General features: G+C 45.1%; 2 protein-coding genes across 20 annotated transcripts in view; one reads left to right on the top strand and one right to left on the bottom strand.

The window, feature by feature from the left end:
- KDM1A (lysine demethylase 1A) overlaps positions 1 to 8,310 on the top strand; it is a 64,222-nt gene extending 55,912 nt beyond the window's left edge. For 5 of the 9 annotated variants that reach the window (NM_001009999.3, NM_001410762.1, XM_005245786.3 and 2 more), the window contains 6 exons: positions 1,849 to 1,981; positions 3,611 to 3,798; positions 4,174 to 4,288; positions 6,067 to 6,194; positions 6,841 to 6,987; positions 7,800 to 8,310. In NM_001009999.3, the coding sequence (NP_001009999.1) occupies positions 1,849 to 1,981; positions 3,611 to 3,798; positions 4,174 to 4,288; positions 6,067 to 6,194; positions 6,841 to 6,987; positions 7,800 to 7,985 (897 nt within the window). In that variant the 3' untranslated portion in view covers positions 7,986 to 8,310. Of the gene's footprint in view, positions 1 to 1,848; positions 1,982 to 3,610; positions 3,799 to 4,173; positions 4,289 to 6,066; positions 6,195 to 6,840; positions 6,988 to 7,070 lie in introns of all 9 variants that reach the window. The other 4 variants (XM_006710473.4, XM_017000716.2, XM_047449677.1 and 1 more) reach the window with 1 other exon arrangement.
- Positions 8,263 to 14,532, bottom strand: part of LUZP1 (leucine zipper protein 1) — a 94,481-nt gene continuing 88,211 nt past the window's right edge. For 10 of the 11 annotated variants that reach the window (XM_047429992.1, XM_047429993.1, NM_001395461.1 and 7 more), the window contains one exon: positions 8,263 to 13,674. In XM_047429992.1, coding sequence (XP_047285948.1) covers positions 13,516 to 13,674 — 159 coding nt within the window. In that variant the 3' untranslated portion in view covers positions 8,263 to 13,515. The remainder of the gene's footprint in view (positions 13,675 to 14,532) is intronic. The other variant, NM_001395462.2, reaches the window with a different exon arrangement.

The following is a 14,532-nucleotide window of genomic DNA, read 5'->3' on the forward strand; positions in this document are numbered from 1 at the left end:
TTCAAGACCAGCCTGGCCCTGTCTCTACTAAAAATACAAAAATTAGCCGGGCATGGTGGCGGGCACCTGTAATCCCAGCTACTTGGGAGGCTGAGGCACGAGAATTGCCTGAACCCAGGAGGCAGAGGCTGCAGTGAGCGGAGATCGCGCCATTGCACTCCAGCCTGGGCAACAGAGCAAGACTCCATCTCAAAAAAAAAAAAAATGTATAGAAGTAAATTATTAAATTTTTATTTATATATTTTAGTTTACATTATACATTTTCCTAATAAAAATTATTTTGACAGGCTGGGCATGGTGGCTCATGCCTGTAATCCCAGCACTTTGGGAGGCCAAGGCAGGCGGATCACCTCAGGTCAGGAGTTCGAGACCAGCCTGGCCAACATGGTGAAACCCCATCTCTACTAAAAATACAAAATTAGCCTGGCGTGGTGGCGCATGCCTGTAGTCTCAGCTGCTTGGGAGACTGAGGCAAGAGAATCGCTTGAACCCAGGAGGCGGAGGTTGCAGTGAGCCGAGATCACGCCACTGCACTGCAGCCTGGGCAACAAGAGCAAAACTCCATCTCAAAAAAAAAATTATTTTGACTTCTTAATCTTTAGATTATAATCTGATAGTTTTAGTATTTGAAGAGTTGGACTTGTTAGAGATAAAGTCTTGCAGAACTACCAGTTCCTTTGTGGTTTTTCATGTAAATACTAACTTAGGCCCTTCTAGTCATTGATTTATCATTTGATGTTTCAATATGTGTCTATTTGTAATAGTATTAAATTTTAAATGAGTGATTTCAGCTGAAGTAGAGTGTTGCTGCCAGCCCAGTATTTTGATCTAATTTCCCCAAGAATTTCATGAAATTAGAAATCCTTACCAGCTTACAAAAAAAATGTTACATAGAAAAATTTTCAGTAAATTCAAAGAAGTAAGATCATTTTGGGGATCTTTAAATTCCTGGTCAATTCCTGACTTTTTTTTTACTGTATGGACTGTCTTGGGCCACTCTTTATGGTCCTAGATTACCTTCATCTAGTTTGACTGACTTAGTTTTGGAAATCTTCCTCAACTTCAAACCTGTAAATTTAAAGAATAAAAACTGATTTTGCTCTCAGGTAAAAGAAAATGTAATCAGGACTGTGACCCTGATATCCTTCAAGTCTGTAATGTATTCAAAAGCCAGATAAATAAACTTGAATGATGTTTAATCATCTGAATTTCCTGAATCATCATTCCCCCTACCACCTCCCTACCCTAACCACCATAGAAGATCCGGACTTAGTGGTATTGGACTGGAATGATAAAAACTATCCAGGGAAGGCCGAGCGTGGTGGCTCATGCCTGTAATACCAGCACTTTAGGAGGCTGAGGTGGGTGGGTCAGGAGTTTGAGACCAGCCTAGCCAACGTGGTGAAACCCCGTCTCTACTAAAAATACAAAAACTAGCGGGGTGTGGTGGTACATGCCTGTAATCCCAGCAGTTACTTGGGAGGCTGAGGCAAGAGAATCACTTGAACCCAGGAGTCCGAGGTTGCAATGAGCCGAGAGCACGCCACTGCACTCCAGCCTGGATGACAAAGCAAGACTCTGTATCAAAAAAAAAAAAAAATCCAGGGACAAAAGAAACTTCCCTAATCTCACTACCCGAAGATTTAGGGACATTTTTTGGTGTTTTCTCTTTTTCCTTCAGTTTCCTTTGGTAACTGTAGCTAAATACTGAGTGATTTGTTCTTTAGTTTGCCTTAAAATATTGACTGTTTCCACAAGCTTGTGTTTTCATTGTTGTTGTACAGAACTAGGTGCAAATGACACAGATTAATAAAAGGTTGGAAATATGTTCTTTTCTCTCCTCTTTAGGATGATGACTTTGAGTTCACTGGCAGCCACCTGACAGTAAGGAATGGCTACTCGTGTGTGCCTGTGGCTTTAGCAGAAGGCCTAGACATTAAACTGAATACAGCAGTGCGACAGGTTCGCTACACGGCTTCAGGTATGTCACTGCTTTACAAAAGGTAAGAGAGAACTCTCCTGAAACAGGACTGATCTTTTGTTAGGTGCGACCTATCAGGTACATTTCCTGATAGAGTGTTTATGACACCATAGGTAAAAATTGGCATTTATAGACAGTTGAGCCTATAGAGTCTTTGGTGGTTCTAACCCTATCATTTTATAAACTGGGAAATCGAAGCAAGTTTTAGAGTTTCCAATTTGTGCATGAGCTAGTTGGATATTACTGGTCGAGCATCCCTAATCTGAAAATCTGAAATCTCTAATGCCCCAGTGAGCATTTCCTTTGAGCACCATGTCAGTGCTCAAAAAGTTTTCCATTTTGGTGACCCAGTGAGTTTGGATCTAGTTTTGTTAAGTATATTCATAAATACCAGGATTTTGGCCCCTGGGCTCCACTAGGACCCACCCCTTATATTTCACCATCCGCATTTTGGTCTTTGGATTCATTTTGGCTTTTTCTATGCATTTGGGCTAATTCGCTTACGTTTGGTTCCTAGTTCTGGAGCAGTCCTGCTAATAAGTTGACTTCTTCAGAGATAGAGTTTCCCTGTGCTTGCTATGGGGATAGGCTCAATGCTCATTATTATTGCTGGTTTCAGGCTACATTTGATGTAAAGTGCAGACAACTGTTGGATTTTGAACTCCTCAAGATAACTAGTCATCTCCCTCTCTGAGAACCCATGTATGACTATGTAGGCATGAGAAATGGAGACATAGCCATCAATCTTACCCTGCGCTGCCCCTTTCCTTGGAGTTACTGAGATCACCACAGATGTTTTGGTTTTTTACTAACAATCAGTGAAACAGTTTTCCATTTAATTTTCCCATCAGAGGCAGCTTGTAGTTGACAGTGCTGAGAAGATCTGCAGCCTTGAGCCTTTTGCAGGCAGACGGAGAACAGTGAGAATAGATGTTGTGCCATTTTCTCGAGTTCTGCAGCCATAGAAAATGAGCATGTACTGAGCTTTCATATTTATTTTGAGATATATAATTTCAAAATATATATAGTATATAAACAGACATTCATTAAAAAACAAACGAGGAAAACGATGTTAACATAATTTCAGTACCCTCTCTGAGGTCAGCTTTGAACTCATTCATACTCTGACAAGCTGAGAATCACTGTGCATTCTCAAGCATAGCACGCTCCACAGTTTTAGGCTGCATCCCCCAGATCTGCATCACAGCCTTCTTGTAGCATTCTTCTGTTGGTCGATAGTGAGCAGCTAACCACAGTCAGAAGACATTGGTTCTATTGGGATGAGCACTTTATTCTTTATTTTTGGTCTAAATGTACTTAACTTGAGTAAGTGGTATAAGGTCCTTTCATTAGTCTAGATCACCAGTGTATCAGGAGGGTAGTGTGGGGATGACAGTTGAGGATTCTGAAGTTGACTACAAGGGTTTGAATCCTGGCACTTATTACGTGTGTAGCCTTAGATGAGTTATTTCACCTCTACCTCAGTTTTCTTATGTGAAACATGAAGGTAATGAAAATAGAAAAATGAGAATTGAGAAATGGATGTCCATCTGTTGTACACTAAATGTTCAGTGTCCTTATCAGTGCCATATTCATCACCACTAGTCTTTTCCCACCCAACCTCTGCAGGATGTGAAGTGATAGCTGTGAATACCCGCTCCACGAGTCAAACCTTTATTTATAAATGCGACGCAGTTCTCTGTACCCTTCCCCTGGGTGTGCTGAAGCAGCAGCCACCAGCCGTTCAGTTTGTGCCACCTCTCCCTGAGTGGAAAACATCTGCAGTCCAAAGGATGGGATTTGGCAACCTTAACAAGGTAGCTTGCCCTAGACACTCCTGTCTACAGATCTGATGTACAAATAGCAGTCTTCGTTGTTTACTTGGTGAGGAGGTGGCCTTGCATTTTTGGGCATTTGGCTATGCTCCCAATTGTGACATCAGGGCTGAGGCGTGTCAGTTGATTCTCTTCAGTGCCTAAGTCTATCATCAAGTGTCTGTTCATATGGACTTAGTCTTATGGGGTCATTTCACAAACTCAGGCCTATAAAAAGGGGATCGTAAATGTCATCCTAAATAATAAGGATTGCTGGGCTTATTTTGAAAGCAGATTAGAAGAGACTTTAAGGAAGTCTGTTGAAGCCAGTATTATCTGGCCCCTGTCACTGGCTCATGTGCTTCTTTCTTATGGTAGGTGGTGTTGTGTTTTGATCGGGTGTTCTGGGATCCAAGTGTCAATTTGTTCGGGCATGTTGGCAGTACGACTGCCAGCAGGGGTGAGCTCTTCCTCTTCTGGAACCTCTATAAAGGTAAATGCCTTCTAATTTTAATCTTTTCCATATCCTTACAGGAATATAGAATTTGAAATATTTTGGGTTTTCTCAATATATATGCCTTAATTTCTCTCTTTATTAACTCAACAAACAATTCCTGAAATACCTTCTAGGTACTGGGGTATAAAAATACCTGCCTTCAAGGAGCTCCCAACTTAGTGGGGATACAGTAAGCGGGGAAGCAGGCTTAGAACAGGGCAGTAGGTGGCCTGATGGGCTGAACGCCCAGGTTACTGGAGGTCCACTCAGCCTGGAGGGATAGGCCCAGGGAGGCTTCCTACCAGGGGAAGCTTGCGTTCTCATTCTCAGACTGACTTGCCCCTGATTCTTTGATTACTTCTCTTACTATGTGTTTATGAAATTCCTACCTCCTGTTCAGTTATTTTCTTTTGTAATTGGACTTAACTGTATGTAGACTTGTAATATTTGTACCCCACCTCATTCCAAGAAAAGGCTGTAAAAATAAGACATTGGCCTTGTCAGTGCAGACACATCAGCTAACCGTTGGCTTGCTCCCCATCCCCAGTTCTTTCCATTACTCCTCACTGCCCAGTGGTGAATGGTCTTTCACACCCCAGAGCCTCTAACTTCACAGAGGGGGAACTTGGCTCCCTGAGCACATTGCTTTCTGAGAGCAGCAGCGTGTCTTTTCCCTTCCCCATCCAGGCTGTCAAGTCCTGTCAGTGCTAGCCTTACAATCTCTTGCAAACCTATTTACTTTTTTCTATTGCCTACCTCCCAGTCCAAGCCATTCTTACCTGTTGCCTGGACGGTTACCAATAGCTACTACTGCTATTCCTGCTTCTTTTAGTGACTTTCTACTGCTGAAAGAAAATGTTCAAACTCCTTATCTTGGCCCATGCTAAGGTTCTTCATTATCTAGCTCATCTCTACTTCCTTGTCCATCCCCAGATTCCAGGCACATTCGGCTGTTCTCACATCCTGGAAGGCACCATGCTGCTTTCTGCCTCAGAGCCTCTGCGTGTACTGTGGTCTAGGCCTGGGGGTGCTGCTTCTCCCACCCCCTCGACCCCCTTCCTTCCCAACCTGTCTTACTCAGCATTCAGGTCTTGACATAAATTTCAAAGTATTTCAAAGACGACTTCCAGGACACATCTCCACTGCCCCAAATGTAAATTAAATACCCCATATTCTTTTCCGTGTAGCCTACGTTTTTCTTCATAGCTTTTAAGTTAATAATTGTCTGTGTAATTTTGCATCTGTTGCTCTATTGGAGTAATAGTTTATATCATATTTTTTATCCCCCTTTTCTAGTACTGTGCCTACCACCTAAGTCTGTTGCATAATTACTCACCGGATGGGTGACTGAAGACAGTCCTGGGCTTGGAGGGGCCTGGGATGGCTAAAAGGGATGTAGTCATTGTCATGGAGCTATCCAAGGTAGTCAAGGTTAAGAATTCTGTGCCAAAGTAAAGCGATGCTTAATAATTCCCTTTTATTAGCAAGATCTGAAATTATATCTTCAGAACTGCTGTATTTTGCCAGGTTAGAAGCAGTGAGGTGCCTGAGAATCTTACTTCACTCTAGTCTGCCAGCTCCTACTGGCTGGTGTCTGGCGACAAAGAGTTCTGTATGCTGTTTCAGAAACATAATCTGTCTCTTCGCATTTGAATGGTACTGCGTGTGTCTTGTCATCAGATTTCAGAGCACCAGGAATAAGGTGGGGCCTGATAAGGAAGTTTTTGAGGAAAGTCTGTAGGAAAACCCTAGAATTATCCTTTCTGTTTCCCCAGCTCCAATACTGTTGGCACTAGTGGCAGGAGAAGCTGCTGGTATCATGGAAAACATAAGTGACGATGTGATTGTTGGCCGATGCCTGGCCATTCTCAAAGGGATTTTTGGTAGCAGTGCAGTACCTCAGGTAAGTAGGTAGGTGGGGCAAGGAGGGATCTAGGGTTCAGACTCAACCAGGGTTTAATGTATTTGCAGCATGTTCTTGGTCAGGACAGTTTAAGCTAGAATTGAGGTCTGTGCTTTTACATGAATAATTAATGTTTGGAGTTCATGGCCTAAGCGTGGGGTTCAGAAAACCCCCCAGGACAAGAGCTGGGGAGTCTGAAGGCTGCTAGCTGCATTTCTCCTCCGGCTTTAGAGTCACACCAGATCCCTGACATTTTAGACAAAATGGCCAAACTCCAGTGAGTATCTCCGGGAAGTTTTCAGAGAACCTCTTGGTACTTTTTCGTGTTCTTTGAAATACTTTAACCCTTTAGGATTCCTTTGAAGGGAAGGATATTGTGAATTTATAAAAGAGAATAAAGGCCAAGCCCTGTGTAGATCTCTGGATTCATAGACAGGAAGGCAACATGGAGGGGCATCCTTCCTGTCTGAAGTCCTTTTGTCCATGTGTGTTTTAAAGCAGGCATTCATCACTTGATCACTGGCTCTCACATGTTGCCCCTCTTTCTCTTCACTTGCATCTCCACCCACCACTGCTTTTCCACCTTTCAAGGATTGATTTGTGCTTGGTGTCTCGTAATGACTTTTGCTCCTGGTTTTTCTTTTAGCCCAAAGAAACTGTGGTGTCTCGTTGGCGTGCTGATCCCTGGGCTCGGGGCTCTTATTCCTATGTTGCTGCAGGATCATCTGGAAATGACTATGATTTAATGGCTCAGCCAATCACTCCTGGCCCCTCGATTCCAGGTGCCCCACAGGTGAGAAGCTGGCAAACTATCTGGGCTTATTTGGGAAGAGGCCAGGATCTCATGATGTCCCTGATTTTTTTTTTTTTTTTCAGATTTTAGTCATTCCATCTTCGGACCCTTTCAGATAACCAAGAGCAGAGTTAAAAGGATGGGCAGCATTTCTGATTTCTCATAATTTGGTTTTGTAAATCTAGGCAGTCTACATTCAGAATGGAGGAGTCCAGAGTATAAGTCAAATAACATTTTTCCTTATTCAGGTTTTCTCCCTAAAAAACAAAACCATTTTTAATTGCACTTCCATTTTGTAATGGCTCATAGGATTGCTGTAAGGTCTCAATTACTAGGGGCTTCCAGGGCATTTCTGAGAAATAACCCTGGGTCCTTGTCTAGACCCTTATGCCAGACCCCACTCCAAAGAGCGGTAAGAATTCCTTAGTGTCATAGCCCAGACCTGCTGAGCTGCGAGGCTTAAGTGTCCCTGATCACCAAATGTCCTGTGCTTCAGGGTAGCGAGGCTCCCTCCCAGAAGGTAGTTATACATGAGGGAAGGACGCTTTACAACTGGGTATCTAAACTGATGAGAACACATGTTAAGCATCACTTTAGGACTGAGCCTAGGTAGAGTTTTATTGTCTCATTTCTACTTGTCAATTCTGGGAAAGTGCCTACTGATAAGGGAGACTCTTCGATAGAATGATGAATAGTAATTGGGGGGGTCAGCCTTTAAAAAGGTCAACAGCAATTTAAGTACTTAGCAATTTAAGTACAAGAATAAAGGTATATGTGCAGCCTGCCAATTTTCTCTTTTTCCCCTAAAATAGCCGATTCCACGACTCTTCTTTGCGGGAGAACATACGATCCGTAACTACCCAGCCACAGTGCATGGTGCTCTGCTGAGTGGGCTGCGAGAAGCGGGAAGAATTGCAGACCAGTTTTTGGGGGCCATGTATACGCTGCCTCGCCAGGCCACACCAGGTGTTCCTGCACAGCAGTCCCCAAGCATGTGAGACAGATGCATTCTAAGGGAAGAGGCCCATGTGCCTGTTTCTGCCATGTAAGGAAGGCTCTTCTAGCAATACTAGATCCCACTGAGAAAATCCACCCTGGCATCTGGGCTCCTGATCAGCTGATGGAGCTCCTGATTTGACAAAGGAGCTTGCCTCCTTTGAATGACCTAGAGCACAGGGAGGAACTTGTCCATTAGTTTGGAATTGTGTTCTTCGTAAAGACTGAGGCAAGCAAGTGCTGTGAAATAACATCATCTTAGTCCCTTGGTGTGTGGGGTTTTTGTTTTTTTTTTATATTTTGAGAATAAAACTTCATATAAAATTGGCCCTCTCTTTTGTTCCTTTGAGTTGGAGTTACATACAAGATGGGGGCATTACTCCTTTGGAAATGCCAAGTTTATCCTATGGCAATAGTAATACATGTTTTCTCCATGTTTAAATAAGGAAGAAGATGTTCATATAAAAGAGAAAAATGGTTTGATCAGGTCAGAAGATAAGGTAGGGGGGCCGGTCCTGTAGAAGCAGTGGACTTCCTGGTCAGTCGGACTAGGCTTCCTCACTTGGGTGGGGGTGGAGTGTGGTGGTGTGCCAAGAACATGGTTATTAGGAAACTTTGGATGCACTTTCAAGATAGAACACAAAAGAGCTGAAACAAAGTCTGAGCCTTTGGGAGACCAGTCTGCCTTTATTCCTGATTCCCTCCATGGGTATGTGCTAAAACTTCCCAATTCTACTAAAGGTGGTGGTGTACATTTTGGGAAGCGCACTACATAGGATCAAGGGCTTAGGTAACAGCTGGTTTAACAGATTGCCACAAACTTAGTGGCTCTTAAAAAAACAGAAATCTATTCGAAAGTTCTGGAAGCTTAAAGTCTAAAATGGGTACACAGGGCTGCATTCATTACAGAGGCTCTCAGAGCAGGGAGGATCAGTTCATTTCCTTGCTCTTTTCAGCTTCTAGGTGTGGGAAGGCTCGTGGCTCCTTCCTCCATCCTCAGAGCACATAACTCCAGTTTCTGCTTCCATCATCACATTGCCTTCTCCTGTAGTCAAATCTTTTGTCTCTCTCTTAAAAGGATACTACCTGTGATTACATTTAAGGCCCACCTGGATCATCTAGGATGTTCTGCCTCATCCCAGCATCCTTATCTGCAAAGTCCCTTTTGCCATATAAGATGATAAAAACATGTTACATGCTGGTTCCTTCCCAGGGGCTCCTGACTGACTGACAGATAGATGATAAACACTGTTACTGCAAATCCAAGTAATGTCCCTTAAATGTGGTTTTATTCTTTCTTACTGTGAGTTAAGGGACATCATTATATATATTGGTGATCTGACTGGAAGATGAAAACGGAGAAGGCTTTTCCCCCCCTAGTCTTAGAATTCGTGGCAGTAATGGAAAGAATCTGCACACCAGGATCAGGGCAGTTAATGTTTCCAGTCCTTGCAGTATCAGTAATTGGTTAGGTAAAATACCCAATTTTAAGTATTACACAATGAAATAAATAAATATACTAGAGCTGCGCCAACGCATAGAAGACAGATGATACACAGGGATGACATTGACAAAACTGGCATCACAGACTCGCACAGAGTATACGGAAACGAGGGAGCTTTATTGGTTACATATTGTACTGCAGAGCCAACAGAGAGCATTCGCGCCAGAGGATACATGCAGACAGGCAGCTCCAATGATACACATGCACCCAAGGAGCCCTGAGCCACTGCTTTGCCCTGGTTTCCAGCGACAGGTTCTGGCCTCCTTGGTCCCATGCTTGGAGCTGCTGCACCTAGACTCTAAGGGGCAGGGGTGAGAGAGACCAGAGCACCTGCCTGAGCAAGTAGGTGTGGACCAACAGGCTGCCCCCAACAAAGGGGCCTATAATGCAATAACAGTTTATTTGAGGGCTACTTTCTTAGCCCTCTCAATCTTTAAAATACAAAAAAATAGACTTTATTCTCTTAAAAATACATTCCATTCAGTATATGTTCTGAGCTGGGAAGCAGCAGGAAAATAGGGCCCCTTTCCTATGATCCTATGGTTGTGAGGCTTTGAGGAGAACCCTGCTCCCCACTCGGGGTATTCAAAAAATAATCCCTAAAAGCAGCTCTTTCCAAAGCAATCTTGTCAGAGAAATAACAAAACCTCATAACAAGGTAGCCAGGGACCCAGCCTCTGGGTCCCCATTCCTTTATTGGGAAGTGGTAGCACTTGGCACTGACCCACTAAATATAAAGAACTAAAACTGCCCCAGGACGACAAGTCCAAGAACACTATAGTGCCCCCTGCATCCCGAACACTCCACTGACGGGGGTTATTTATGTGCAAGCTTGCCTACAGCTGAGGGTGGGGTGGCATCCTTGGCCCCACTGCAGATCCCTTTAACCCACACTGTGACTCTTTCTCATTGCCACCCAAAAGCAAAAAACAGCCACAGCTTCTTTATCCACCTGCAGCTTTCTCTGGTTTAGTATCAGAGTGGCAAAAAAAGCAGCAGCACGTGGAAGAGATCAGCTGCTGGTACTAAGCCAGCTTCACTTCCTCCAACCAAGCAGCTCTATTGCCAGGTCCCCCAACTCACTAGGAACCCTCCAACAACCATACACCTGCCAGTAAAATTTAAGAGCCAAGCTGCGGAAGAAAACTGTCATAAAAGTGGGTTTGTTGACCGGGGGCAGTGGGACTATTTGGCTTGATTAAACAACTATTCAACTACCAGGTCTCCCCTCTACTTGGAGGCTTCCTCCAGGACCCCTGATGATGAGGCCTGGGTCCAAACAGTCACACCTCAGTTGCTTTTCAGAAACATGCCTCCCAACTTTGGGATTTGAGAGCCAGCCTTGCCAGCCATTTGAAGCCCAGAGAAACAGCCTCCAGCCTTTACTTGCTATTACAATGTTATTTTCTGCAATGCTGAGGACACTTAAAAATAAAATCTATCTAGAAAGTGTGCAGATTAAAGAAACAAAATATCCTGAAATAACTGTTACAAGCAAATCCTATTGCACTCAGATTTCAAGATGGCAGCCCCAGCAAAAGGGCATCACAGCTGTCCCTCTTCAACAGGACATTTTGAGTAGCAGCAGATGTTGGTGCTGCTGAAATGTGGAAAGATCCAGACTTTGGCACCAGGAGCTATAGCACCAGAATCCAGGGCTCCAACACTCAAAGACAAGAATTATTGGCGAGATCTTTTTAGGCATGGCTTGGCGCCCTTCTGTTTCCATCAGCAGAGAAGAGCCACAGACTTAGTTTCCTAATACCTTTAGTTGACCACCACAGAGGTTGATTTTCTTTGAACTCTCAAGGTTGCCAACCAGTGAAGGAGAATGGCAGGGAGGCTGCAAGTGAAGGATGGCAGCCTTGAGTGAGCTAGTTTCTGGCCAGTAAGCCAGGAGAAGCAGCAGTAAGAGATCTTGGAAATAGCATCTTGAGCATCAGAGGTGGGGATGTGGACAGGAAAGGCAGGCCACATGACAATGCCTTTAGATTGGCAAAACTCTGGGAAGCAGAAGTATGAGCAATAGATTCCTGTCCCTGAAAGTAAGGTAGGTGCTCCCCAAGCCTCCTCACTGCCAAATCTGATACAGACAAGGTCAGGATGAACACTGGTTCCCATGCTGAGTGAAGGCAGAGAAGACAAATTCCTCTGGAGGAAGTCTTGAGTCTTCCTCTTGCCAGGAAATTCATAGGAGATGCACAGGAACAGGAGATACACAGACTTGGGTACTTTCCATAATACCTAGACTCCTAGAACGCCAGGAGATACTGTGTGGCACTGGGCAAGGCTGATGCCACAAAGAGCCTCAGAGACCATCCCATCTAATCCCTTCACACTTTGCAGATTGGGAAACAGGCCCACGGAGCTTCTCTGAGCTCATCCCCATGAGATTAAAACATACAGAAACTAAAAAACAAGGCCCAGAAAAACAATTGAGGGCAGGAGGGAAGAACCCACACGGATGATACCTTCCACAAGCAAAAATCATCCCATACTATTATAGATGGTGAAAACAGGAGAACCTTAGAATACCAGATTTGGTGCCCTTAGAGATCATCCATTTCAAAGAACTCATTTTACAGACAGGGAAACTGAGGCTCCAAGAAGACAATGACTCACCCAAGGTCACACAGCAAGGAAGTAAAGCCATGGGGAAAAAAATCCAGCTTACCAGACTGGTAGTTTAATGTTCTCTCATTCTGAGGGCAATAGTGTCTACTTCATAAAGGTAGCCTTTGAAAGAGGATCCCTTCTTTGAATTGACAGAATGCTAAAGAAAAAGCACTGCCAAGAATATACAATTCTTTTCAACTTCCCCATGTGACTGGTATAAGGAACCTAACCAATTTATTTACGTGGCTTTCTGAAAAGTTTGCTGCATTTTGAACTATATAAAGCTGAGGCCCTCAATGCGTATGTACGTATCACCTTTCCTCCAGCGAAGTCATCATGATAGTCGACTTGCAGAAATCCGGGGCCCACTTCTGTAGGAATGCATCAGCTTGGTAAAGTGCGATGCCTCCTCCATGGGGGATGGAGAAGGAGGAACAGGAGGGAGTAGTCTCACAGTCCATGCCTCTCATGGAGCTATTGCTTGTGGAGTGACTAAAGGGGTCTGCTTTCCCTCTTGCTGGGCACTTCCTAGAAGGCAGAGGATGCTGGGTCAGGCCCAGCTTAGCCTAGGGATTTTCCCAAGGTGGAAACAATGAAGTCAGCTTGAAGTCTCCAGCCACTGGAGAGAAAGCAGGCGATGCCAGCAGCATTACTGGTGCTCAGGAAAGGAGATGCATGAGGCTTGCACCTCCAGGTGCCTTTGGAAGGTGAGCAGAGAGAGCTGGGGTTGGGGAGGGATGATGTCATTCCAATGGGTATCCGCATGAGTATCTGCATGCTCTGCTTCCAGGAGACTGGTAAGCCAGGAGCCAGGTCAAACTTCAACCTAAAGGGTAGTCTCATAATCCTTTAGAGGCAGCACAGACCCCTTTCTGCTTTAAGTCTGAAGAAAAGAACTCCAAGGGGAAAGAAATGAAAGCCCCCTAGATAGAGCTGATGGCTGGTAAATCTTATGGGGTACTTGAGCCCATTGGGCAAATGAGGAGTGAAGTGGATATAGTGAGGAGACTGAGAAACCAGAACATTAACCACACAGACAGAGGCTGCCCTAGGATCCAGAAACAACCCACCAAGGAGCCGAGAAGAATTTTTGACTCCTGCTGTGTGCTGGGGACTTTATCTTCCCTTGTTTGGGGGCCAGAATGGTCCAACTACTTGGTGGACAGGGACAAGGAGAGAGAGAGGACTCGTGCATTGGGGAAGGTTGGGCCTGGGTGACTGTCCAGCTTGTAGTCTCTGATTCCCTCTGGCCAAATGGCAAAAATTACCTGAGCCACAGCCCGGCTCTACCACAGTTTTCCAGCCAAGGCTTGTGTCTTGCCTGGTTAACTGGCCTTGGATCCTTCGTGGGGCAGGACGGTGGAAGAGCTGAGAAGCAGGAGCAGAGGGCAGACAACAGACACCCAGCGGGCTCAGTTCTCCTCAGCACAGGGCCTGGTTGGCCGTAATCGTTCCTCGGCCCGTACTCGCCCAGACTCTGGCAGCCCCTGCTTCCCAGGCAGTTCAGACGGATCCAGGGAGTTGTGCAGTTGCCTGTAGACACTGAGTGTACAGTCTTCCCCTTCTTCCTCCTGTGCCAATAAATAACAAAAGTGAGCTGTGGAGGTCAGTAAAGTGAGGACCGAGACACCCTCACCTGCTACCATAGTGGGTCCTTTCCAACCCAGCAGAGGCAGATATAGCCCAGACAGGCCATAAGTTAACTGCAAAGATATGCTTTTGCCTGAGTATGGGCCAATATGTAAATTCCTTGGAAATCGGCAGACTGGGAACTCCAAGCTGCTGGGAACAATCAGGGTAGGCTAGGAGGAGGCTCACAACTCAACAGGAGCCTTACAGAGGATAGAGCCTGGAATGGGGGCATGGGACTAGCACCCCTGAGGAGGGGCCAGCAGTCTCCGAGTTCTGCACATGCATGCAGGCCGCATGATTCTGGGGATGAGGTCCACATCCTTGATGGGGAGCTGAAGAGAGGTCCGGACAGCTCTCTTCCTCCTTCCCACATACAAACTACCAAAAAGCTCACATTCCCGTCTCTCATCCTTTATCTCTCCTCTTAAATGTCCAAAGCTTCAGGGGCCCAAATAGCTGTCTTTCTCCCTACGCCTAGAATTCTACCTTTTTTTTTGAGACGAAGTCTCGCACTGTCTCCCGGGCTGGAGTGCAGTGGCGCAGTCTCAGCTCACTGCAACCTCCGTCTCCTGGGTTCAAGCGATTCTCCTGCCTCAGCCTCCCAAGTAGCTGGGATTACAAGCACGCACCACCACACCTGGCTTTTTTTTTTTTTCTTTTTTTGAGACGTCATTTCACTCTTGTTGCCCAGGCTGGAGTACAATGGTGCGATCTCGGCTCACTGCAACCTCCGCCTCCTGGGTTCAAGTGATTCTCCTGCCTCAGCCTCCTGAGTAGCTGCGATTACAGGCATGTGC

Source organism: Homo sapiens, chromosome 1, assembly GCF_000001405.40.
Source record: "Homo sapiens chromosome 1, GRCh38.p14 Primary Assembly".
Taxonomy (NCBI): domain Eukaryota; kingdom Metazoa; phylum Chordata; class Mammalia; order Primates; family Hominidae; genus Homo; species Homo sapiens.